At 58.5% G+C, this 24548-nt stretch overlaps 1 protein-coding gene and 1 non-coding gene across 4 annotated transcripts, besides 8 other annotated features; both read right to left on the bottom strand.

Annotated features, from left to right (window-relative positions):
- BIRC7 (baculoviral IAP repeat containing 7) lies at positions 203-4793 on the bottom strand. Of its 3 annotated transcripts, none has more exons than NM_139317.3 (7): positions 4253-4793; positions 2696-2795; positions 2221-2302; positions 2084-2129; positions 1465-1536; positions 1088-1340; positions 203-442 (listed from the first exon to the last, which is right to left on the bottom strand). In NM_139317.3, exons 1-6 carry the CDS (start codon positions 4599-4601, stop codon positions 1093-1095), a joined length of 897 nt encoding a protein of 298 aa, NP_647478.1. In that variant the 5' UTR covers positions 4602-4793; the 3' UTR covers positions 203-442; positions 1088-1092. The 3 variants fall into 3 exon arrangements, with proteins under 3 accessions (NP_647478.1, NP_071444.1, XP_047296451.1); NM_022161.4 differs by having other exon boundaries at positions 1088-1286; XM_047440495.1 differs by having other exon boundaries at positions 1088-1293; positions 2696-4793.
- Positions 954-1454: an enhancer, noted in NCBI's record as "H3K4me1 hESC enhancer chr20:61870596-61871096 (GRCh37/hg19 assembly coordinates)". NCBI's record gives its function as "activates a minimal SCP1, AML or CMV promoter by ChIP-STARR-seq in naive H9 embryonic stem cells {active_cell/tissue: H9 hESC(naive)}" and the evidence as "EXISTENCE:reporter gene assay evidence [ECO:0000049][PMID:30033119]".
- MIR3196 (microRNA 3196) lies at positions 1856-1919 on the bottom strand. The gene has a single exon (NR_036163.1). It is a non-coding gene; the product is annotated as a microRNA 3196 (primary transcript).
- Positions 4909-5028: an enhancer, noted in NCBI's record as "active region_18225". NCBI's record gives its function as "activates an Ori minimal core promoter by ATAC-STARR-seq in GM12878 lymphoblastoid cells {active_cell/tissue: GM12878}" and the evidence as "EXISTENCE:reporter gene assay evidence [ECO:0000049][PMID:35858748]".
- Positions 5376-5977: an enhancer, noted in NCBI's record as "H3K27ac-H3K4me1 hESC enhancer chr20:61866073-61866674 (GRCh37/hg19 assembly coordinates)". NCBI's record gives its function as "activates a minimal SCP1, AML or CMV promoter by ChIP-STARR-seq in naive H9 embryonic stem cells {active_cell/tissue: H9 hESC(naive)}" and the evidence as "EXISTENCE:reporter gene assay evidence [ECO:0000049][PMID:30033119]".
- Positions 6797-6992: a silencer, noted in NCBI's record as "fragment chr20:61865058-61865253 (GRCh37/hg19 assembly coordinates)". NCBI's record gives its function as "represses an EF-1alpha promoter that drives an FKBP-Casp9 reporter gene in an ReSE screen in K562 erythroleukemia cells {active_cell/tissue: K562}" and the evidence as "EXISTENCE:reporter gene assay evidence [ECO:0000049][PMID:32094911]".
- Positions 7756-8955: an enhancer, noted in NCBI's record as "CDK7 strongly-dependent group 2 enhancer chr20:61863095-61864294 (GRCh37/hg19 assembly coordinates)". NCBI's record gives its function as "activates an origin of replication core promoter dependent on BRD2, BRD4, P300/CBP, MED14 and CDK7 cofactors, with strong dependence on CDK7, by STARR-seq in HCT116 cells {active_cell/tissue: HCT116}" and the evidence as "EXISTENCE:reporter gene assay evidence [ECO:0000049][PMID:35650434]".
- Positions 9029-9798: an enhancer, noted in NCBI's record as "H3K4me1 hESC enhancer chr20:61862252-61863021 (GRCh37/hg19 assembly coordinates)". NCBI's record gives its function as "activates a minimal SCP1, AML or CMV promoter by ChIP-STARR-seq in primed H9 embryonic stem cells {active_cell/tissue: H9 hESC(primed)}" and the evidence as "EXISTENCE:reporter gene assay evidence [ECO:0000049][PMID:30033119]".
- Positions 13356-14310: an enhancer, noted in NCBI's record as "H3K4me1 hESC enhancer chr20:61857740-61858694 (GRCh37/hg19 assembly coordinates)". NCBI's record gives its function as "activates a minimal SCP1, AML or CMV promoter by ChIP-STARR-seq in primed H9 embryonic stem cells {active_cell/tissue: H9 hESC(primed)}" and the evidence as "EXISTENCE:reporter gene assay evidence [ECO:0000049][PMID:30033119]".
- Positions 24215-24494: a silencer, noted in NCBI's record as "silent region_13149". NCBI's record gives its function as "represses an Ori minimal core promoter by ATAC-STARR-seq in GM12878 lymphoblastoid cells {active_cell/tissue: GM12878}" and the evidence as "EXISTENCE:reporter gene assay evidence [ECO:0000049][PMID:35858748]".

The following is a 24548-nucleotide window of genomic DNA, read 5'->3' as shown; positions in this document are numbered from 1 at the left end:
TTAAAATACTGGAGGATAAGCGCGAGGGGAAGGAGGTGAGGGGCCTGGAAGGGGGGTGTCTGCGGGAGTGGGGGAAGTTTGGGGAGCAGCCTGGAGCCAGCTGGACCTGGGCAGGTGCTGCCCTGCCAGCCTGGAGAGGTGGTGACCTGTGTCGGGTTGGGTGGGTGGGGAGGCAGCTCGTGGTCTGGAACAGGCTGCTGGGTACCTCCAGGGAAAACCCACTTTATTTCTATTCAGAAGCATCCAAACAGGTACAGTTAAGCCATCCCCCACGCCAAGCAAGGGCCTCCTTCTCCACCCTGGGCGGTGGTCGGGGAATCAGGGCTGGTCAGTGCTGGATGGACACCAGCTCTGCCATCCTCAGCAGGCCCAGAACACAGTCCAGAACAGGCAGAGAGGGGCAGGGAGCCCACTCTGCAGCCCACCTGGCCGGCCATGGCACCTAGAGGGAGAGGAGGGGTGGGTGAGTCAATGGCAACCGACGGGGCCCACCTAGCCAGGGGCCTCAGATCCCAGAGTTCCCTGCCCGACCACTTTGTCCCCTGCCAGATCTTCAGACACATCCCGGGGGTAACTACAGAGGCTCTGGGGAGCCCCGAGGCGGTCACAGCACCTGTCCCTCGGCCAGTATGGGGTATCCCACCCACTTCTCTAAGAACAGGTTCACACACCCCCTTCCCGTGCAGGTGTTCCCACCATGCCTTGGCCCCGGGTTGAAGCCAGGCCAGTGTCTCGCTTGTGTAAGCCCAACCTGGCCCACCCTGTTTCCCCAAACGCCTCCAAAGCCGGCTTTCCTTGACCACTGAGGAAAATCAAGGCTGAGAGGAGCCAGCAGGCGTCAGTTAATGCAGGCAGGCAGAGCTATGGTGGCCGCCAGGGCACGGTGCCCGAAGGACCAGGCCCCAACCTAAGCGTCAAGGGAGGTAGTAAGATTGATGGGCGCTATCAGCGGGACCTGGGAGCCGGGTAAAAACAAGCTGACGCTGCCACCCGGGAAGGGCCTGCATGGGTTCAGGAGGGCCGGGCACAGCCGGCTCAGGGCCCCCTCCGCAGGAGGGCTGGCTGCGCGTGGTGCTGGGGCGCTCACCTGGCCTAGGACAGGAAGGTGCGCACGCGGCTGCGGACGGGGGCTCTGCAGATGGGGCACAGCTGCAGGCCGGGGGCACACTCAGCACAGACCAGGTGGCCGCACGGCACAAAGACGATGGACACGGCGCGGTCCAGGCACACCTTGCACGTCCTCTCCTCCTGCAGCCGCCGCAGCTGCGCCTCCACATCCCTGGCTCCTGGGGGCTCAAGAACCCACCACGCCCTCTGGGCCTCGGCTGGACTGACCCCTCCTAGGAGGACAGGCCTGCGAAATGTCCCCACACCCTGGCCCCCACCCTCTATGGGCCATGGAAGGTCGGGGTCCCTCAGCCCTCCCCTGCCCCAGCCCTCACCCAGGGGGTCCCGGGCCTGCACCTGGCTCCTGGGCACTTTCAGACTGGACCTCTCTCCTGGGTGTGGGCAGCTCAGGGTACCCAGAGGCAGGGACTGTGGACAGTTAGGATAGACTTGAGGCCTAACTCCCAAGGAGAAAGCTGGGCCGGCCCAGATACAGGTCTGCAGCCTGTGGGGTCCAGTTCTGGCCGGGAGTGGAGGGGCTGCAGAGTATCCCCGCTCCCGACACTTCTTCCCACCCCTCCCACAGCATAACAGGATCCAGAGGCTTCCTGGAGGCGCCACCAGAGAGCCTGTCCCTTGTCCAATGCCCTCTGCACATCCTGCCCATCTGGCAGTAGCTGCAGATGCTGTGTGCTGGGCACTGTTGGGGGTGGTATGGCGACAGGCAATGGGCTGTGCCCAAGGGGTAAGCTGGGAGAGAAGCAGAATGGGGCCTGGCACTGGGGGAGGCCCCTGCCGCCCCGCCCCCACCCTCACATGGCACAGCCCCCTGAAGCCAACCCAGGCAGCAGCGTCACACCCTGTCACGTGCCCGTCACTCTCCCTGCTGTCTGGGAGGGTGGGGACACCCAGTGGCCTTGGCCAAGCACAGGCTGCAGGCGCACAAGGAGTCAGCAGGGGTGGTGTCAGCTCTCACCGGAGGGGGCCACAGGGGCTGCGTCTTCCGGTTCTTCCCACGGGTCCTGGAAGGAGCCAGAGACCATCAGGCCTTGGGGAAATAGGAGGGGCAGGACCCCACTGCCACCCGGAGCCCCGAGGAGAGGTGGCGCTCACCCAGGAGCCCAGCAGCTGGGAGTGAGTCTCCTGCACACTGTGGACAAAGTCTCTTCCTTTTGACCGGAGCAGGAACTGACAGCTGCAGATGCCCCAGAGATGTAGGTTGGGGTTCAGGGCCCCCACTGTCTGCTTCAAGCCCTTGGATCCCCGGGGGTCAGGGTTGGGCCCCCTCCTCCCGCCACCCTGCAGTGCCCGTGGGCATGGGCGAGGAGGGCTGCTGTGGAGACGCCTCCATGGGGCTTCAGGGTAGTCCCATGGGAGAGGCATTTCTGCCCCCAGCAGCCCTTCCGAAAAGGGGCCCTCACAGGAAAAGTGGGTACCTGCCGGCCAGAAGCACCTCCCACAGAAGGGCCTCCCCAGTGCCCTGTGGGGCCAGGGAGGCAAAGCAGGCCTGGTGTTGGGTCGACAGAGCCGTTGGGGGCCCACCCCCTACCCATGATCAGACCCGGGGCCCCGCAGGGGCAGCCGGTACCTGGGGAACCACTTGGCATGCTCCGTCCAGGGGTCGTCCCCGCGCTTCCAGCTCTGCAGGCCCCCATAGCAGAAGAAGCACCTCACCTTGTCCTGATGGCCTGGGGTGCGGAGAGATGCTGGCCCCAGCCAAGTCCCACCCAGTCCCCGGGCCCCCGGTGTGTCCTTCCAAGGCTATGAGAGCTTCAGCTGGAGGGGAGCTCCCAGGTGGCAAGAAGGAGGAGGGGGTGGGCAGGGGGCTTGGTGGGGGATGTCACTTGTACCTCATTAGCATCAAAGGTGAAAAGGGGACAAGGGTGACTGGGGTGCCGGCCAGGATGGGCGAGAATGTTCAGGAAAGGACTGAGCTGGCATTTGCATTGTTCCCAGAGTGAGCAGTGGGGGCCCCCCAGGGCTTGGTACATCTATAGCCCTGGGGCTTCAGGAGCCAGAAGGGCCCCTCCCCAGGTCTCTGCTTCCCCAAGATGGATTCCCAGTGAGAAGAAGAAGGGAGGCTGCCCTAGAAGGCCAGTCTGGGGCCAGGCTTGCTTTTAGGAACTCATGCCTCCCTTTGGGGGTGGGGGACCCGTCATCTCTCTACCTCCTGGCGACCCCGTCCCCTCATCGGCATCCATGCGATACGTCACCTGCCACTGACATCACAGGTTTGGGCTGCATCGGGCACTGGACCTCTACCAGCCCCAAAGACCCCGGCTCTGCACCTGCCATGCCTCTTGCCTGGCCTTTGCCTCCTGAGCCTTGGACTTCCAGGGAGGTGGGTGAGCTGGGCCTGCCCCTTCACGCCACGGCTTCTGACTGTCCCAGCCACTGTCCCCCCGACCAGCTGTCTTAAGTTGGTCCAGCCTTACCAGGATGGTGCCCCGCCAGAGCCCACTGCTGACAATGACCATGGCTGTGCCAGTATTTGTAAAGCCCTCGGTGGGCCCTGCTGCCCTGTCCTTCAGCCAGGAAGTGGCAGAGCTGGGACCTGAACTCAGGTCTGACCACATGGTCTGCAGCTGTAGGGCAGAGGAGCAGGCCCGGGCCAAGACTAGGATAGGTACTCCGGGGACTTGATTCAGTTGGGGAAGACCAGACAGTAGCTGCAGGTTGGGGCCTGGAGAAATTCCCCACAGGCTGAGCATCCAGGACCTTCTGGCTGACCACTGCCTGCCTTGGTCACCCTGATCCTGTTCTTTAAACATCTCCTCTCCCTGTGCAGAACAGCAGCGGGGAAGGTGAGGGCCCCAGGCAATGTCAGCCCCACCCACTTCTATCACAAAGGGGTACTTGTGCACCAAGCTGGCGGCCTCCACAGCTGAGACCCTCAGACTGTGGCCAGAGGCAGCCCCTCCTCACATCCCACGGTCTGAAACACTCAGCCAGCAGAGACTCCGGGGGAGGGTGTCAGGCACGAGCCCATGGGCACTGGAGGGGCTTGCAGGACCACTGCTCCGTCATCAGGCCAGACCCTTCCTGTTGGGGGATGGATGCTACGGAGGAGGCAGAGCCCTGGGCTGGAAGGGTCCAGAATCGTGCCCAGGCCCACGGCAGGAAGGCCCCCCCGCCCGGGACTGACCTGTGTGGAAGAAGCCGGCAGCAGCCAGCAGCTCGGGTGGCACCTCAGCAGTCAGCGGCCAGTCATAGAAGGAGGCCAGACGCAACTCCTCAGAGCCCATGCCGGGGAAGGCAGGCCCCCTGGACAAGGTGGCCCCGGCGCCCTCCTCCTCTTCCTCCTCTGTCAGGGGCCGCAGCTGGCCCAGGATCTGCCCATCCACGTGGTCCCAGGCTCTGCAGGTGTCCAGGCCTAGGACAGGGCTGCCCAGAGAGCGGGGTCCACAGCGCTCCTGCGTGGGACCATCACCGGCTGCCCAGTGGCTCGGCTGTGGTCCACGGTGCAGGCACTTGGCACTGTCTTTAGGTCCCATGGAGGGAACACTGGCTCTGACCAGGTTTGCAGCAGAAATGGGGGCTGATGGCCAATCTCAGAATATGCCCAGCTGGCCCTTCTGGAGCTCCTGACCCCCGGGGCCCACCCTGGGGACAGCAGGGATAGGCACAGGCCTGCCACCAGACACCCTGGGAGGGGAGTATCCCAGGGCCCACAGCTTTCTGGAAGTGGCCAGGGTGGCCTCTGGGGTCACATGCTCTGTGCAGCGGGGGCGTGTCACGGGGCCCCTGGCAGGGTTGCGGATGCCGCTGACTGCACGTGGGCAGGCCACGTCTCTCTGAACAAGACGGGAAGGAACTGAGCATGGAGACCCCTCCCCAGGCTGGTGTCTGCCCCAGGGCTGTGGGGGAGGGGTTGGGGAGCTGGAGATGATGGCTCCAAGGTCAGGCGCCCAGGGCAGCCTCCGGAAGCAGAGAAGGCTCAAGGAAGGACATGTGAGCTGTGCTGCCTGTGCAGGCAGGGGCCGTGACCTCCCACCTTGCGGGGGTGACTCTAGCCTCACAGGGGCCTAGGGCTGCGTCACGCAGAGCAGGGAGGCAGGTCACCCGGCTGTTCTCTGAAACATCCCTCTGCCCCAAGGGGCCTCTGCAGGTCTGGGAGCAGCTCTTGTCCTCAGGCCAGGAAGATCAGAGCAAAAAGAAGGGCCCGAGCTGCCCTCACCTCCCGCTCCCCCTTCCCCCATCTCCCTCCACCTCCCTCCATACCAGCCTCCCCAGGTAGCCAAGGGAGAGGCTCTGATGCCCCCAAAAGAGGAGTACTCAGTGTTGGCACTGGAATCGGAGTTCCTGAGGTCTGCTGTGACCCTGGCTGCCGGTCCAAGCTCCACACTGTGCCACACTGCCAAACCCCACAGTGAGGGAACAGGGAGGAGGACTTAACCCCAGAGAAGCCAGGGGCAGAACAGGAACCCCAGGGACACCTGGGCGGGACAAAAAGGACAGCTGGATGGGGCCCAGACTTCGACACCCCCCAACCCCCGACTGAGCCCTCAACCCCAGCAAACCCAGCTCATCCACCCGGCTGGCCCTAAAAGCCCCCTGTCATCCTTCAGCCACTCTCCCCTGCTGTTCCGTCCTGGATGGGAGCGTGCAGGCTCACAGAGTTTGGAAGAATAAAGAGGAGTCGCACGCTGCAGGGCCGCTGGTTGCCACGGGGAGCGCAGGTGGGCAGGAGAGGGTTAGCTGCAGTGAAAACCGTCCCTGAGCTCACCTGGAAGCCTGGCCCGTTCTCTTCCCACTGCTGAGCCGCATAGACCCAGCTGCTGCCCACCACACTTTCACACCTGCCCCCCGACCCCCACTCACGGCGGGGGCTGGGGCTGCACCCGCCCTCCCAGGAGGCCTCTGGTGACTGTTCTGGTCATACTCAGGCCAGTGTTGCCAGGCCCCAGCGAGACCCCCAACCCTTTCCTATGCAAGGCCCAGAGCCACCTGGTTTCCTGCAGAAATCAAAGTGAAGGGTGTGGCTGGAAACCCCTCCCAGGCTCTTAAGGCCTCTGGGGTGTCTGCAGGCCCTGCTGAGGATAGAGCCCAGAAGCCAGGGCTGCAGGGCGCAGAGGGAGAGGCAGCAGGAAGCTCAGGGGCATAGGAGGGGAGGGCTGTCGGGAAAGGGCCTGAGGGCCAGCAAAGGAGTTAGGCTAGACACAAGGTAGAACTTCCCAGTGTGTTTTCTGGGATGATCTCAGGGTACCTCGCCTTCGCCCCCTCTCTGTCCTCCAGTGCCCACCTCGCCTTCGCCCCCTCTCTGTCCTCCAGTGCCCACCTCGCCTTCACCCCCTCTCTGTCCTCCAGCGCCCACCTCGCCTTTGCCCCCTCTCTGTCCTCCAGCGTCCACCACACCTTCGCCCCCTCCCTGTCCTCCAGCGACCACCTCGCCTTCACCCCCACGTCCTCCAGCGCCCACCTCGCCTTCGCCCCCTCCCTGTCCTCCACCGCCCCCTCAGCACAGCGGTTACCTTTGGTCACTTCAGCAAAACCCCGGGTGTGGGCCTGGGGCCCTTTCAGGAGGACGTGGGCCTCAAGCTGGGTGGATTTGCTGCCTGGTTCCCAGTCTGCCCGCAGTGCACCGGGGAGGTGGGAAGAGGGGCCACTGTCTCCAGCCTGCTTCTTCCAGGGGAGAGACACATGCAGCACCCAGGTTTGCTCTGAACTCTCAAGCTGGGGACCCTCTGAGGTGGGCAGGCAGCAGAGGCCGCTGCCATGGCCTGTTATGGGACCCTCTCTTCCCACTGCTTGGGGCTCGGAGAGGAGACAAGGTTGGTGTCACTCCTGGAAGTGGAAGGAAAGGCCCTGGGGCCCACTGGGGAGTTGGGGTTAGCTGGGCCATAAGCCGAGCCCCGCTCCTCCGGTGGGATCGCCCCGAGGTCCTGTGCACCTCCAAACCCAGCAGGTGTTTCTCCACACGCATCGCAGTGCCATCCCAGTGCGTAACTGTGCAGGGAGCTGCTGAGGGGCGCTCAGCTGCTTTGCCGTGTGCGGCCGGCCCAAAATTCTCAAAACAAGGACTATCCATATGTTGCTTATTTAATTAAATAAAAAGAAATAAGGAGCTAAAAATAATGGTCATGTGCCTATTCCAGAAGTGTCGGGAATACTGGGAGTATAAAGAAAGCGAAGTTCGATGTCTGAGCCATCCCTGTGGGCACCGGGGCGTGTGTGTCTGGATTTGGCAGTTGCCCTGCAGCTTTGCAGGATGATACCGTGGGGTGGGGCAGGGTGCATGGACACCTCTAGGCTTCTTTGCAATTCTGCATCTACAATGATTTCCAAATAAAAGCTGGGAAAACCCATATGCCTTCTCCCCGCTGAGCGGTAAGCACTGCTGTTACTATTTTGCTGTTTTCTTCCAAACATACCCTAAACATCTTTATTTGCTATTTGCCCATTTTTCAAAATGAATAAACATCTGTCAGTACCTAGGAGGGCCCCCTGTGATGCCCCCTGGATCCCTGTGAGTCTTTACAATTAAGTCTCCCAGCTGAGAAGATGTCAGATGGGGAGCCGTGGGGAGAGGCCTCCAGGTCAGTGAGAAAAAAGCCCTGGGCCCAGCAGGGACTCCTAGAAGCCCCAAGACCCCACAGTGACTGGGATTTGCAGCTCCCTGCAAGATTCAGAACCAGCAGGAGTTGGAGGAGAATATCCCCAAATTGCCCCCCACAGTGATGGGGACTAGCCTATTAAGGCAGGAAAAGAGGACCGTCGTCAGGGCCGGGCTCAGCATTCTCCACCAACAGCTCACACCTCCCCCAAAGCCACCCAGCCATCCGGGAAAGTCCACGCCCTGAAACTGCGTGTGGGTGCCACACGAATGAGCCCTGCTCTACTCCATGAAGCCTGGGGTTGGGGCCACGTGGGCAGATAGGTGGACCCGCTGGGCACAGGGTTCGTCTTCCTGTGCAGAGATGGGGGGTCTCAGGAGGGGCCTCCAGAGAAGAAAACATCTCCCCCAGGGCTCATGCCTGACCTTTCACCGCCAGAGCCTCACAGTCTCCTCCTGTTAACTTTTCCTCTGGGAATGCTTTGTGAGTCATTAACACTTTAGTATAAACAAGACTCTCAACTTTCTCAGAAGGAAGTTAGTGGGATTTTTAGACGGGGATGGGATCAGCCTGGGATAAGAGGGCTGAGTCAGAGCCTGTGGAGGTCCAAATGCTCTGAGCAGAAGGTGAAACCGTCAGAGGCATGTGAACCAGAGCAGCTCCGTGTTGAACGGGAGCTGGGTAAAATGGTAAAATGAGGCTGAGACCCACCGGGCTGCATTCCCAGACGGTGAAGGCATTTTAAGTCGCAGGATGAGACAGGAGGTCAGCACAAAATACAGGTCACAAAGACCTTGCTGATAAAACAGGTCGTGGCAAAGAAGCCGACAAAAACCCACCAAAACCAGGATGGTCACGAGAGTGACCTCTGGACGTCCTCACTCTCCACCAGCGCCAGGACAGTTTACAAATGCCATAGCAACATCAGGAAGTTACCCTAGATGGTCTAAAAAGGGGAGGCATGAATAATCCACCCCTTGTTTAGCGTATCATCAAGAGATAACCAAAAAAGTGGGCAACCAGCAGCCCTCAGGGCTACTCTGACTATGGAGTAGCCATTCTTGATTCCTTTACTTTCCTAAGAAACTTGCTTTCACTTTACAGACTCACCCTGAATTCTTTCTTGCAGGAGATCCAAGAACCCTCTCTTGGGGTCTGGATCCGGACCCCTTTCCTGTAACAAAACTGTCTCCACAGGGCTGACAAGAATTGCATGTCGGGTTCTGGACAGAAATATTATTATAATTAAGCATTAATCAGACTGCACGGTGGCCCGCTTTCTCGCTGCTAAACATCACCACGTTGCCCTCGGTCGTGACCACTGTGTTCCCACAGATGCGATCCCTGATATTACAGTCATGAGGCTTTTGTTGATTCCTTAAGATGTTTTTCAGACCCCAAATTCCAGCAACCAGTTTGAAGACCCTCATGGAGGGATGGGATCCACATGAGAACAGCTTCTTCACTCTGTCCTGTGGCTTCACCCTGCAACCTTCTACTAATCAACCATCTGCACATTTGGCCCACTCCAAAACTCTGGAAAACCCCAGCCTCAAGGCAGGAGGACTGCTTGAACCCAGGAGTGCAAGACCAGCCTGGACAACATAGCGAGGCTCCATCTCCACAAAAAAATTTTAAAAACATAGCTGGGCATGGTGGTGCACAACTGTGGTCCCAGCTACTCAGGAGGCTGAGGCAGCAGGATTATGCGAGCCCAGGAGTTGAAGGCTGCAGGAGTGGTGGGCAGGGAAGTGCTGGCTAGAGGAGGGCATGGTCCCTGGCTAGGGCTCCACGCACAGGCCTGTGCCCACGGACCTAGGTGAGGATAGACACACCCTGCCTTCATGTCCAAATGTTGCATTTCCCAAGACCACCCTGCCCTGCCACGCCCCCATCTGGTGCCTATAGAAACCCTGAGACCTAGCGGGCAGGCACCTAAGCCCTGGACACGGAGAGGAGCCCATTGGCAGAACACACAAGCGGCTGGACGTCGAGAGGCCATCAGGGGGAGCACGCCGGCAGAAGAGCACACTGAGACTCCGGCAGGCGATCAGCTAGTGGAACGATGCAGAGTTTGGTTGGGATGGTTGGAGGAGAGCCCCGGCTGCTGAGCGGCCTGATTCCAGGGGAAAGCCATCTCCCTTCTGGCTCCCCCATCTGCCGAGAGCTACTTCCACTCAATCAAACTTTGCACTCATTCTCCAAGCCCATGTGTGATCTGATTCTTCCGGCACAGCAAGAACCCTGGGATACAGAAAGCCCTCTGTCCTTGCGGTAAGGCAGAGGCCTAACTGAGCTGGTTAACACAAGCCACCTACGGACGGCTAAACTAAGAGAGTGCCCTGTAGCACATGCCCACTGGAGGTTCAGCTGTAAACATTCACCCCTAGAAGCTGCCGTGGGGCTCCCTGCCCATCTATATGCTCCCCTAGGGGTTTGAGCAGCGGGGCCCCAAAGAAGCGAGCCAGTCCCCATCGCAGGCCCTGCAAGGGGACAAGGAAATCTTTGCCATTTCACTATGATTGTGCCCTTGAATTCCAGCGTGGGACTGTCTCAAAAAACAAACAAACAAACACCAAACAGACACCAAACAACAACAACAACAAACCCCAGCCCCAGATTCCTCTGGGAGATGGATTTGAGGTTCCCTCCCAGCAACTTCTTTAGTGACCCTATGATTAACCCCTTCTTTGCTGCAACCCAGCATCTCAGCATACAGACTTGCCGTGTCCATCGGCAGCAAACTATCATAGTTACAAAGAGACAACTGGGGCTAGGAAGGAAGAGAGTTTCCCTCCAGCTGTAGCAGGAGGAGTCATAGACAAAATTCCTCAGACACTGGATTGTGGAAGGAAAGAGCTTTATTCAGCTGGGATCGTCGGCAGACTCACGTCCTAGAAACCGAGCTCTCCGAATAAGTGATTCCTGTCCCTTTTAAGGGCTCACAACTCTAAAGGGGCTGTGGGGGCGGGGGTCGTGATCTATTGAGCAAGCAAGGGGTATGTGACTGGGGGCTGCATGCACCAATGATCAGAACGAAACAGAACAGAACAGGGAGTTTCATGATGCTTTTTTACACAATGTCTGAATCCATAGATAGCACAAGCCCTGAGGTCAGAGGTTGAATTTTAACACCAGGTCTGAAATGTGGTCCCCAGTTGTCTGTGATTTTTCACTTCTGCCAATTCTAACTTCTACTTTTTCAGCAAACAAGAAATTAAGTATAAGACAATATAAGGAATGGTCTCCTCTCTGACAGCTAGATGTCAGCTTGCTTTGGGATTCACTGGGAGGGTCCCAACCAGGACAGTGTGCCAAGCCCTATGCTAAGGCCATCACCCACATTCCCTCACTGATCTCCTCAGTTACCCTTCGAGATGGGCACAGAGCTTATTTCAGAGGTGAGGAAACCGAGGCTCAGAGAGGGGCACAATGAGTTGGCTGAGAGCGGAGATGGAGGGCCAGGAAGCCTGTCCAGGGAGGCAGCGGCAGCCGCTGCCGGGGGAGACATGATCCCCACGCGTGGGGTGGGGCCGCAGGAGGGCGATGGCCTGAGAACCTGCCGGGAGGCCAGTGCTCCTGTACCCTTCTTCATCAGGGAGGGGAGACGGGGAGTGTGGACGGTTCTTTTGATGGGGCATGAGTGATCTTCGGGGAGAAGGGAGGGACTCCAGAGACAGGAACTAACTTGTAAGTGATTCCCTTTGGAATTCGAATGACCTCCAGAGGAGACATTATCTGGGGCACAGGTCCGTCCAGGTAAGGCTGCATTGCTGCTGCCCTCTTTTCTGAGGTTTCAGGGAAGGGGTGGAAGGTGACTGCGCTTCTCCATGGTGGGGCCCGGCCTAAGGCAGAAAAGGGGTTTCAGGGAAGCGGTGGAAGGTGACTGCGCTTCCCCATGGTGGGGCCGGCCCTAAGGCAGAAAAGGGAAAATCACAGCAGAGCCTCTTCCAGCATCTGCCGCCCTTCAGTGGCCTCTGACTTAGAGCAGTGAGTACGCCCGGGCACCATATGTGAGCCAAAAAAAAATTCCAAGCCCCTAGTTGACTGAATGGAGCCCCCTCTTGGCCAACGGTACTCAAGGAAATCTGAAAAACAAGTTCAGCCCATGACAGGAAGGTGGGGGCCAGACAGGCCTCGTGAGACCCTCCTCCTTTTGGAGTTCAGGAACGACTGACCAGCGTTAACATTAAAATCGAGCTCTTAAGCCTGACAAAACAGGCCAGGCGCAGTGGCTCACGCCTGTTATCCCAGCACTTTCGGAGGCTGAGGCCAGAGGCTCTCCTGAGCTCAGGAGTTCAAGACCAGCCTGGGGAACATAATGAGACCTCATCTCTCAAAACAAACAAAAGAACAAATTAGCCAGGTGTGGTGGTGTGCACCTGTCCTCCCAGCTACTCAGGAGGTAGAGGCAGGAGGATCGCTTGAGCCAGAAAGGTCCAAGCTGCACTGAGCTGGGCCACTGAACTCCAGCCAGGATGACAGAGGGAGATCCTATCTCCAAAAAAAAAAAAAAAAAAAAAACACCAAACTGACTAAACAGACTGTAAGATCCCGAATGCCAGCCTGACTCTGGCATAATATCACATGACAAACAAGGAAAGAAAAATATTTTATCCCCAAATACATTTCTTTGCCATAGTTTGGAAAGGCCCTATTGGCCGGGCGTGGTGGCTCACGCCTGTAATCCTAGTACTCTGGGAGGCTGAGGCGGGTGGATTGCCTGAGCTCGGGAGTTCAAGACCAGCCTGGGCAACACGGTGAAACCCTGTCTCTACTAAAATACAGAAACGTAGCCGGGCGTGGCAGCGTGTGCCTGTAGTCCCAGCTACTCGGGAGGCTGAGGCAGGAGAATTGCTAGAACCTGGGAGGCTGAGGTTTCAGTGGGCGGAGATCGCACCACTGCACTCCAGCCTGGGCGACAGAGTGAGACTCCGTCAAAAAAAAAAAAAAAAAAAATCAAGACCGGGCACGGTGGCTCACACCTATAATCCCAGCACTTTGAGAGGCCAAGGGAGGCAGACCACCTGAGGTCAGGAGTTCGAGACCAGCCTGACCAACGTGGAGAAACCCTGTCCTTACCAAAGATACAAAATTAGCCAGGTGTGGTGGTGCATGGCTGTAATCCCAGCCACTTCGGAGGCTGAGGCAGGAGAATCGCTTGAACCCAGGAGGCACAGGTGGCAGTGAGCCCAGATCACGTCATTGCACTCCAGCCTGGGCAACAAGAGCAAAACTCCATCTCAAAGAAAAAAAAAAAAAAAAAAAAGAAAGAAAAGAAAGAAAGAAAAGGCCCTGCAAAGCCATCTTGTGTGGGGGAAAATTTGTGTCTGTAAGGAATCTCTATTAACATAACTAGCTCTTTCCCCTTCCAGGCCCTCCCAATCCTGAAGAGGTTACCTGAGGGTCCAGCACCTTCTAAAGGTCTGCATAGGAAACATTTGCCATCTACTGTCTTTAAGGACAGACACCTATGGGACTTCATCTTCATAGTAAGAACCTCAGTCTCCACAACCCCTTATCTTAACCCAGATGCTCCTTCCTATTGGTCTTTAGATAATAACTTAACTCTTTCAACCAACTGCCAATCAGAAGATCTTTGAATCCACAATCCACCCAGGACCCGTAAGCCCCCACCTAGGACCTGTAAGCCCCCAACTAGGACCCGTAAGCCCCCACCTAGGACCTGTAAGGCTCCACCCAGGACACGTAAGCCCCCACTCAGGACACGTAAAGCCCCACCTAGGGCCCATAAGCCCCCACCCAGGACCCGTAAGGCCCCACCCCCTGCTTTGAGTCGTTCTGCCTTCCTGAACCTGAGCAATGTACACCTCACATGTACTAACTGATGCCGATGTCTCCCTAAAAGGTATAAAACCAAGCTGTCACCCAACCACCGGGACACATGTGCTCAAGACATAATAAGACTGTACCTCAGGCCATGGCCACCGGTATTAGGCTCAGAATAAACCCTTTAAATATTGTACAGAGTTTGGCTCTTTTTGTCACACGTATTTTGGGGTGAAATTCGCCGGGCTGCTTCACCATCCTGGCCTGCTGTGGCATGGCCATGCCCCACACCCAGATCTGCCTGACGAGGGCCTGGGACAGAGGGGCCTTGGGGGCCTGGTGTGGTACTGCAGGATCTCGGGTTCCCTTCCCCACCCTTGCCCATGTCCTGCTTAGAGATCTGTTTGTGGCGGGAAAACCTTGGGGCGGGGTCCAGCCTGCCTCCACCTGTGGGCCCCACAACCACTGCGTCTGGGCCGTCCAGTCCTGGCAGTCCTGGGATTCTGGGTCAGTGGCTGCAACGAAAGTCTGGGCTTGTGGTTGCAGTCACATGAGGCCAGGTCCTGCTCACCTCCGGGCCGTGCCGGCTGGAATGAGGCTGGACCTGGAGCCCACATAAGCTGAGGAGAAGGAGGAAAGGGGTGGGAGGGAGGAGGAGGAAAGGGGTGGGAGGGAGGAGGAGGAAAGGGGTGGGAGGGAAGAGGAGGAAAGAGGTGGGAGGGAGGAGGAGAAGCTCCAATTCCTGTCCAGGCCTCAGGCCTGGGTTCCCAGGAAGCTCAGCAGGTGTATGCTGGGCAAGGTGGGCCGGTAACCCCTGTGACAGGCAACCCTCCCGCACCCAGCCCCACTCCTGCTGAACAACCCTAAGTGCCCTCACCAAAAGTGGCTGAGCCGGTCCCCTCCTCCTCAGCTTGGGGGGCCAGAGCCTGCCAGCACTGGAGCAACCCTCCCTGTGGCCACAGAGCAAGGACTCCAGGGGACCGCAGGGCTCCGGACAAGTGCATCAGAGGCCCACAGGAGGGGCTTCCAGCTTCTGAGGCTGGCAACGGCATTAAGAAGCTCGAAGTGAGACAGGCAGGCTGGCTAGTTTCCTGTTTTCAGATGGTCTGGAGGGGCTGGGCGCGGTGACTCACACCTGTAATCCCAGCACTTTGGAAGGCTGAAGCAGGTGGGGATCACTTGAAGCCAGGAGTTGGAGACCAGCCTGGCCAACATGGCAAAACCCCGTCTCTACTAAAAAAATTAGCTGGGTGGGGTGGCGCGCGCCTGTAATCCCAGCTACTCGGGAATCTGAGGTGGGAGAATCGCTTGAACCCAGGAGGCGGAGGTTGTAGTGAGCTGAGACTGCACCACGGCACTCCAGCCTGGGCAACAAGAGCAAGACTCCATCGCAAAACAAGGCCAGTGCAGTGGCTCACGCCTGTAATCCCAGCATTTTGGGAGGCCAAGGCGGGCGGATCACCTGAGGTTGGGAGTTTGAGACCAGCCTGGCCAACATGAAGAAACCCCATCTCTACTAAAAATACAAAATTAGCCAGGCGTGGTGGCGCATGCCTGTAATCCCAGCCACTTGGGAGGCTGAGGCAGGAGAATCGCTTGAACCCTGGAGGCGGAGGTTGTGGTGAGCTGAGATCACGCCATTGCACTCCAGCCTGGGCAACAAGAGCGAAACTCTGTTTCAAAACAAAAACAAAAACAAAAACAAAAACAAACTCAGGACCCCAATTCACTCTGCCACAAGAAAAAAATTAAACTAAAAGCTAAGTCATGTGAGAAGCTGCCTTTCTTTTTGTTCCTAAGCAGGTAGTTACAGATAACAGGTGAAGCATCTCTACAGGAGACGTTCACCTTATTTCATACAAGTGCAGGTTTCCGAGCATGAGAGGAACACACAGCTGACGATTCCCCTGCCTGCTCCTCTTCTCTTGCAGCATGTGATTACCAAGGCCTCCCTCTTGCCCCTCCAGCCTGCTTTCCCCCCCTTTAAATGGTGGAGCCCTCAAAAGCATCTTTGGAGAAAGGCACAGACCACAGACTAAAAGGACATGTGACTCCATGTGCTTTTCTTCTAGGCATGTCCTTAACCTTGGCAAAATAAACGTCTCGATCGACTGAGCCCTGCCTCTCATGCTTTTTGGTTTACAGCTTCCTCCCCGAGTCTTAGGTGGAGCTCTCCAGAGCAGACCCCAAAACAAAAATGAGCAGTAGGTATGTTCCCGAGGGGTCACTGCCCTGGGCACCCCGCTGAGGGCCTCCCAGAGCCCAGGGACTCCCCAGGTATCCTGCCAAGGGGCCAGCATCCTGGCGCAAGTCCATCCCTCTGGGCTTTGGCTGCGGTGAGCGCTGGCTCCCAGCCAGCGCCTAGAGAGCCACAGGCAGAGTTGCAAGAGGCCAGCAGGGAGCGTCCTGAGAAGACCAGCGTGGGCCCAGAGCAGGCCCCACCACGGGCTTCTCCCCACCTGCTGGACTGGGCTGGGCTGGATGCTGACCCGACCATGGGTCTCAGTCTGGATGGTCAGCATTCCTCAGTGCCACGGCAGCTGTCTGGACCACACCTCCCGTGGCTGTGGCCCCACCTGGGTCCGTTAGTCTGATTTATTTTCCTGGCATGCCTGGCCCAGGCCTGTTGGGGGCAGGGGTGGGGAGAAGCTTATTTAGTACAGCTGTGCCTGGCTCCTTCCTGCAGCTTCCCAAGCCCCTGTGGCTTGTGAAGTTGAGCTGAGAGGCCACCTAGGGCCAGGGATGGACAGAAGGCCTGTATTAATGGGGAGGGCGGGAGGATGAGAGCAGCAGGCCTCTGTTCCCGCAATCCTGCAGAGCCCAGACATCCACCGAACAGCCCTGCTATCTGTGAGCTTCTGGGCATCATTTGAAAACATGAGATGCACCATCTCTGGCCCCAGATTCCAGCCTGGGAATCCAGGAGGTGGTTGAGTCAGCTTTAGGAAAGGCTAGATCAGGGAGCTCTGGGACCACAGGGAGGACTCTGGAGAGGGAAGGGGAAGCAAGAGGCTGCAAGAGGCAAACTGGACACTGCACTCTCCAGCTCCACACGCAGAGTGAGCAGGGCCAGTGAGCACTCCCCAGCTCCACATGCAGAGTGAGAGGGGCCAGTGAGCACTCCCCAGCTCCACACGCAGAGTGAGAGGGGCCACTGAACACTCCCCAGCTCCACGCAGCAGAGGGAGCAGGGTGGGTGAGCAGGTCTTAGGAGCTTGCCAACCTCGCAGAGTGCTAGGCACATGTGCAGCCATCAGGCTCACCTGGAGGTTTCAGGCTCAACCAGAGGCCTCCTGACCATGTAGGTCACCAACTCCACCCCAGACTACTTTGATTTCTCTGCTGGGGGTCGGTGGGGGGCAGAGGGGTGGACATGTGTGTTAATTAAAGCTTTCTGGGAGTGTGAAGGATCAGCGTTGAGTATCAGTGCCTGGAGTCTGAGCTTGGCCGTCAAAGACATTAGCCACTAGCTGCGTGTGTCTGCTGGAATTTAATTAAATAAAATTGAAAGGGCAGTTTCTCAATTTCAAAGGTTCAATAGCAGCACCTGCTGGACACAGCAGGCCACAAGTTACAGAATGCCCACCAGGTGGGGTGAGCCCCTCTGGCGCTCCCTTCCACATGCTGCCTCCCAGCTGGGGAAACTGAGGCAGGTCCCTGGGGAGCTGGAAGGTGCACACCAAGGACCTAACTCCTGATTCAGAGCTCCCTCTGCTGGACATAAAGCAGGTGACAGCACAGAGGTGACACCAGGGGCCTTGGAGCTGTCCCTACAGACAAGTGATGACCCAGTGGTCCCAGGTGTCCCCAGGGTGAGCATGAGATCTCGAGGAGCCACACGAAGCTTTGGAGAGGAGGTGAAGCAGGCGGCTTCAGGCAGAGGGAACAGCGTGGCCCTGGGGGATGTGCATGTGGCTGGCATCCTGGGGACTGTAGGCAGACAGGGGTGCAGAGGTGTGTGGGGCTAGCGCACGGGTACCTGGAGCCCCTGGTCCAAGAGGCGCTGGGAACAAGGGAGGGATCTGAGCAGGGCTGGACTGTCCAGACACACTCCTCCTCTGTGGAACTGTGGGCCAGGCCCGAGGTTCGTATGTTATGCTTGTCCCTATGGTCAGGACACTCAGCTGCAGGTGACAGAAACTCAAAGCTAAAAATGAAATGTATTGCTTCACCCAACCAAAAGCACAGAAGTGGACCATTTCAGACTCAGCTGGATCCTGGTGTTCAAGCATCTTCATTCACTTGCTTCTCCCTCTCTGGACTGGCATCAGGCCCAGGTGAGGCATCCATCCCCAACCACAGGGGTTGAGGAGGGGACGCCCTGAAAGAATATCAGGAATGTGGTCACTCAACTGAAGGGAGCTACATGCCGGGCAGGCCAGTAGAGTCACCCAAGACAGCTAGCAAGCCACGTGGAAGGGTGGGAGAGTCCAGGTGGCCTTCCTCATCCTGGGACAGGTGCTCCCCTGGGGAGAGGCTGCTGTTTGCAAGGGCAGATGAAATCAGCAGCGTCTTTTGCTAGCACAGTACTCAGCACCCGGCACGCCTCCCTGTAGCACCGCCCAACCCCAGGTCCTGTTCTCCAGAGCTAGCCCTGCCCATTCTCATTCCTGTCCCACCTGTGGCCCTCCCCAGGCACCTGGCCCAGGTAGATCCAGCCATTGTGGGGCCTCCCTTTCTGGGCCACCTGCAGCTCTAGCTGTGAAGCCTGAGCCTGCAGGTGCCTATCTGTGTCATCTGATCATGTTGGTTACTCTCTGGTCCCCCTCCTGGCATGGTTTCCTCCCCACTTTCTAGCCTGAGTCGTCCCCATGGTCCCCCTCTTTGAAGACCTCTGGTAGAGCCCCAGAGTCCTGGTGGCATCCAGGGACTCCTCTGGTGTCTTTCAGACCCAGGGCTGGCCTCATAGGATGTGACCCAAGCGGCCCCACACCCAGAGGGTGCTGTCGTCACCATCTTGATATTAACACTTTTGTCTGAATCTGTGTTTTGTGAGTGCCATCTGATGAGATGGTGGCATGCGCCTGCACTTGGGGTCTGGGAGCCTGGCTTGGCACAACCCTCCTCCCCCCACCCCCAGGAATGGTGTTTAGCCACCCAGTGACCCCTGCCAACCCTCATCCCAGCAGGGACCTGGGTGTGGGCACAGAGGGATCAGGGGCATGGCCCATGCATGGAGCCACAGGGACAGGTTCAGGTGCCTGTGAGAGTTTCCCCTCCCCTTGCCCAAGAGCACATGACGTTAAATAACAAATAAAAACACCATCACAGGTGCAGGGAGGGGCGCTGGAAGGAAGGAAAGAGCCTTCTCTTGCTGTTTGAACGAGGGCCCCGAATTTTCATCTTGCCCTGCTGGGACTCTGTCTGGCTGCCAGGCGAGGCCTCTCCTCACCAGAGCAGAGCCCAGTAAGCACCTCTTGTAGCAGAGCCTGCATTGTCTCACTGCTGAAGGTGTCCACGGAGGCGGGTGGTGCTGCAAGAGCAATGCAGTCCCTGCAGTCCCTGCAATCCCTGCAATCCCTGCAGTCCCTGCAGTCCCTGCAGTCCCTGCAATCCCTGCAGTCCCTGCAGTCCCTGCAATCCCTGCAGTCCCTGCAATCCCTGCAATCCCTGCAATCCCTGCAGTCCCTGCAGTCCCTGCAGTCCCTGCAGTCCCTGCAGTCCCTGCAATCCCTGCAGTCCCTGCAATCCCTGCAATCCCTGCAATCCCTGCAGTCCCTGCAATCCCTGCAGTCCGAAGCTACTGCGATGAGCAAGGCACGCTCACATCTGCTCCCTGAGCCTCCACCTTGGGGCTAACGGAGACATCGGCCCCAGAGCACCTGGCACTGGTACTTACAGGCAGATGACAGTTCTCTGCAGTGGGAGAAGAGGCTCTTGGCAAAGTGGAGTTAGGAGAGGCCCTGTTTCAACTCCTGGAAAAGCAGGGAGGGAGCTGAGGCCTGCAGACCAGCAGGACCGGGGCTAGGAGCTTTACTGTTCAGGCTGGGTTGCTGGCCCCTGGGGGATGTCATGCCGATGGAGCAGGGCCAAGGACAGGGCAGGTGCCAGGGCTCAGGACCAGGTGAGAGCTCAGGGAGCTGCCAGAGTAACTATGCGGCCTGGACACTTTCATTAACTTCTCAGAGGCTTAGCTGCTCCAGCAATCCAGAGTTGCTCTAACTCCCTCGGCTCTCTGGATGCAATGCAGAGCTTCCTTCCACGTGCTGAGCCGTCTTCCCTGTACCTGCACTCGGCAGTGGACACGAGGGGACCTGCTCAGGGACCTGACCTTCCAGTGGGCAGGCAGGTGTTGCTGTGTCCTGCCTCCTGCTGTCCATCCACCTGGGGCACCCTGCCCACCTGCCTGCATCCTCATTTGGTGAGTGCCTGCCTATCCTGAGTCTCTGGGCTCCTCTCTGTCCTGCCTCCATCACAGCTCAGATCTACAGTGACCCATCTACCTCTGCCTCCCATCTGGGTTGCAGGAGCAGCACCTGGCCTGTTCTGTCCCCGTGTGTGGAGAACAGCAGGTGCTCAGTGAAGCTAGATGAACCTTTGTAGGGCTATGGAAGGTCCCAGCACCAGGAGCTCTGCTGGGCAGGGGCCACCTCGTGCCCCCACGCCCCATACACATAATAAGTATGTGCTCAGTTCACACTTGTGGGGTGAATGGTCCAATGAGAAGCTTAGAGAGAGAAGGTTTGAAAACTGTAAAGTGCCGTGCATCATGGGAGGCACGTCAGCGCACTCCACGTCAGCGCACTCCACACACTCCACGTCAGCCCACTCCCCACACTCCACATCAGCGCACTCCACACACTCCTCCATGTCAGCCCACTCCACACACTCCACGCCAGCCCACTCCACACACTCCACGCCAGCCCACTCCACGTCAGCGCACTCCACACACTCGTCAGCGCACTCCACGTCAGCCCACTCCACACACTCCATGCCAGCCCACTCCATGTCAGCCCACTCCACACACTCATCAGCGCACTCCACGTCAGCGCACTCCACACACTCCACGTCAGCACACTCCATGTCAGTGCACTCCCAAGGCACAGGGAGGCAGGAGGAACCAAGAGAGCAGGAGCCAGTTTCATCAAGGACAAAGCAGCCCCGCCAGGGAGTACGGTGGGGAGCGGTTTTGGAAGGAGGCCTGCCGACTGGGGATGAGCCCGGGGTTGAGGTGAGGGAGGAGATGAGGACCTGAGACAGCATTCGTGGAGAGGGCAGCTGCGTGAGTGGCTGGTGTCCATCGAGACAGATGGGTATCTTCACTGAGAGCCCCCAGAGGCCAGCTGCAGGGTGAGCTGTGTCCAGCACTCAGGAGGGGTTTGGTTCAGCCAGGGATCATCTGAATTCAGGGCCCACAGCGTTTGGACCCTGCACCCAGCTCAGAAACCTCCTCTTGGCTGGGGGTTTTGGTACAGCCTCCTTGGGGGCCATCTGGCAACATCAGCACAATGGCCAGTGTAAGCGCCTTTGGCCCAGTGATTCCATGGGCAGGAGCCTCCTGCCAGGTGTCTTCGCACACGTGTGCATGTGTGTTGGGGCCAGGACACTCACTGGATGAGGCTGGAGCCCATGCCCTCCCTGGAGAGGGACGAGGTGGGTGGACGGCGGGTGTTGATACTCAGCAGCACTGTGGATCCCCAAAGTGCGGTTTCCCAACACGTGAGATGCAAGGGCAGATAGTGGAGACAGAGACTCATGCTTGCATGCACAGGCAGGCATCTGGAGGGCTCCCTCTCTGAGGGGTTTGGGGGTGGTGGTTTTTGCTTCCCACCTTATATCCTTTGAGTGCAAAGATAGCTTTTTAACCATGCGCCTGTGTGACTTTCAAATAAATAAAAACCCAAACCTTCCTAATGCTAGTCATGTTTAGACAATCCCATACCACTTGAGGGTGCTGCCAGGAGCGGGTACTGCTAGGAAGGGCTCTTGGATGAGCAACAGGTTCCCCGAGCAAGAAGGTTCCCGTCTGAAGGCAGACGGCCCACAGGGGATGGGCTCTTGTCTGTCATTGACGGCACAGGCTTAGAAATGGCAGGCTTTGTCTCAAGACCGCTGGGCCACCCAGAGGAGTGGCCAAAGCCCTCTGATCCGTTTCCATCCATGACATGAGGAGCTGCCTGCTCCCTGTGAGGGAGAGACAGTTGTCCCCTGACATTCGGTGCTGGGTGACCTCCCTTTTCCTGGCCGAGAGCTGGGCTGGGGTGTGAACCTGGGCAGGCTGGGCAGTGGACGTGGCCCTCCAAGGTTACAGGCAGCTCAACTCCTGGTTTTCTGTGACACCCTCCCAGGTCCTCAGGCCTGGCCAAGATAAAGGCTTTCCCCCCAGAGCTGGCCTGGGGACCTCAGCACCCCCTGCTGGTGCCACACCCCCTGCATTCAATTCACTTTAGGGCCCCCTGTTCCCGCCAACCAGACCTGTCCTGCCCCTGGGCAGCCCCCAGTCTCCTTCCATGTCAGGGTCAGCATGGAGCCTTCTGGAGTTCACAGCAAAAGCCTGGGTGGGTCCGGGCAGTGGCTGTGGGATCCTGCCAGCCTCTTCCCTGGCCAGTGGGGCTAGGCTGGCATGGTGGTGCCTCCTCAGGCCTCACTGTGGGGGCCTCTCCTTCCATCTACATTTGTGAGTAGAACCTACTCAGCCCCAGGAGTCACCCTCCAAAATCTCTCCATAGGCATCACTGTGAGGCCTCCCCAGTGATCTCTGTAGTGAGCTGAAGAGTGTACCCCCAAAACTCATGTCCACCTGGTACCTGCGTGACTTTATTTAGAAATAGGTTCTTTGCAGATATAATCACAAGACGATGAGGTTATCCTGGATTAGGGTGGGCTCTAAATCCAGATGAGTGTCCTTATAAGAAGAGACACAGGCACAGAGGAAAAGGCCATGAGGTGACGGAGGCGAGGAGGAAAGACCAGGAAGGGCTGCGGCCTCCACCGGAGGCTGGAGGAGGCTAGGATCCTCCCCGAGGGCCCTGGAAGGAGCTTCTGTCTCCACTTCAGCCCAGCAATACTGATCTGAGACTTCTGGCCTCCAGAACTGGGAGAGAATAAATTGCCGTTATTTTAAGCCCCCCAGTTCCGGGTACTTTGTTGAGATAGCTCCAGGAAACTGAAACACCTCCAGGGTCCTGCATTGCCGGCACTCAGCCATCTAAGAAGGCCCCTAAGCTCGGAGTGGCCACTTCCCGCAGGGCCAGTGCTGCCTCCTGTGACTGGCTGGGCATTTGTGGGTGAAGGCAGCAGGTAACAGCCAGTGTTGACAGAGCCCTGGCCTGACGCCAAGGGCTGCATACCCAGTTTCTTCCACACACTCATCCTGTGAAAGGGGAGTAATTAACCCACCACGGAGGAGGAAAGTAGGCCTGAGGCTGAAGGCCCTGTAACTGGCTGTGAGGCTCTGAACTCCAGTGGTGACCACTGCACCGTCCTGGCCCAGGGATGGGAGCTGGGTGAGAAGACAGACAGGGGCTCCAAGAGTCCGAGTGTCTACTCTGACCACCCAGACACCCCCTTGCTGCAGTCTTGGCCGCCAAACAGTTCAGTGTCCTGGGAAGCAGGCACTCAGGGCCTGCCCAGGATGCGCAGGCCTTATCACACAGAAGCAGGTGGCAGGGTGCCCCCAGGGACCCCACTGTCCCTACAATCCCCACACATCTTCTCCATGTGGGCCACCATCCTGGAAACGTGCTGTTCATTTTCGGATGTACCCCAAATGCACAGATTTCATCCTGGCCTGAGATGTCTGCCCATGGCCCAAACACATCAAAGTCCCAGGGGATCCAGATTCATCCTCAGGGCACCAGACATCCCCCAGCTCTGTTCCAGGGAAACAAGCCCAGCCCGCTTTCCCCAGCTTTAGGCGAGGCAGGGCTCCAGGGAGACCTGGAGCAACTTGGAGCAGCAGTCCTCTCTGTGGCTGACCGGCCTGCTGGGGGCAGTTTCCACCTCCTCCTGCAGCAGTGTGAGAGGCTGTCTGCTACCCCACTGATGCGGATGTCCAGGCTTGGAGCCGTCTTGGGACTCCATTGCCGTCCCTGCTGTCACTGTTCACCCTGCTTAGCGCATCTGCCCGGGCCCACTTTGTGGAAAACACTCATTTGACGTCAACCTGCCTGACACCCCATTCCAGGTCTTTCTCCTTTAGCAGGACCCAGATCCAGGCCACGTGAAGATGTTACAGCTGCCAGAGCTGGAAAGAAAAATATCAACCTGGAAGCCTCTGTAGGGAGTTAGCCACAAGGGTGGCAGGATTGGATACTGGCTGCAGGGAGCGAAATTCAACACCTTGACCAGAAGGGCGTCCAGGTTGGGGATGCTGAGGGGTTAGGAACTGAGAACTGGGCTCTCTTTGCACAGTTGCTGCTAAGAAGGGGCTGTCCATCCTCGAACAAAGATGACAAGTCCCCTGGCCCGGCCTAGGCTGGGGCACAGAGCACTGCTTTTCCTCCTGGTGATGAAATCGGGGTCAAGAATCTAACATGAGAACTTGGTTATAAGCCGGCGAGCCTCTCGCAGGTCCAGGGGTGCATCCACACAACAGCTGACCTCCGGGACCGGGCCCAGGGCTCCGCTGCGGCTGAAGGCCAGGGCCGCAAAGCGAACAAAGCCCGCAGGTCCCGCGGCAAGGGCCGAGGCGCGCGACCTGGAACACGCGGGGGCTCGGAGCTCTGGGCGGGCAGGTGTTTGCGCGCGGGGGAAGGGCAGACCGACCCCGGACAGACCCGTAGCCCAGCTGTCGGACCAGAACAGCGTTTAGTCTTCGGACCTTGGGGAAAACTACAGAGGCCTCAGTGCCGGTAGCGCGTCGGGGGTGCGGCTGTGGCCGGGGTGTGTGTGGGCGGCTGTACACCTGGCAGCAGCCCGCCAGCCCCTTCCCGCCAGGCCCCGCGGCGCCTCCGGACACGCCCCACGTGACTTCCCCGGCTCAGGGCTTCCCCGCCCAGCCGGCTGCGGTCCCCGCCCCGCCGCACGAGACTGGGACCTGAGAGCGAAATCCATCCCGTAAGACGGGAGCGCGCAGGCGCGAAGTGTGGCGGCCCGGCGCGGCGCTCCCGGCCTGCCCCGCGTGCACGCTGACGCCGCGCAGTCTCGTCCCCTGCC

This window comes from Homo sapiens, chromosome 20 (genome assembly GCF_000001405.40).
Source record: "Homo sapiens chromosome 20, GRCh38.p14 Primary Assembly".
Taxonomy (NCBI): Eukaryota; Metazoa; Chordata; class Mammalia; order Primates; family Hominidae; genus Homo; species Homo sapiens.
This window is presented reverse-complemented; position numbering and strand designations above follow the sequence as displayed.

What these genes read in the sequence shown, in the direction of transcription:
- BIRC7 (NM_139317.3), bottom strand. Translation starts at nt 4,601, where the DNA reads ATGGGACCTAAAGACAGTGCCAAGTGCCTGCACCGTGGACCACAGCCG. An exon ending in TGCCGGCTTCTTCCACACAG is followed by an intron (nt 2,796 to 4,252) that starts GTCAGTCCCGGG and finishes TCCGCACCCCAG; the next exon opens with GCCATCAGGACAAGGTGAGG. An exon ending in CATGCCAAGTGGTTCCCCAG is followed by an intron (nt 2,303 to 2,695) that starts GTACCGGCTGCC and finishes GGGCATCTGCAG; the next exon opens with CTGTCAGTTCCTGCTCCGGT.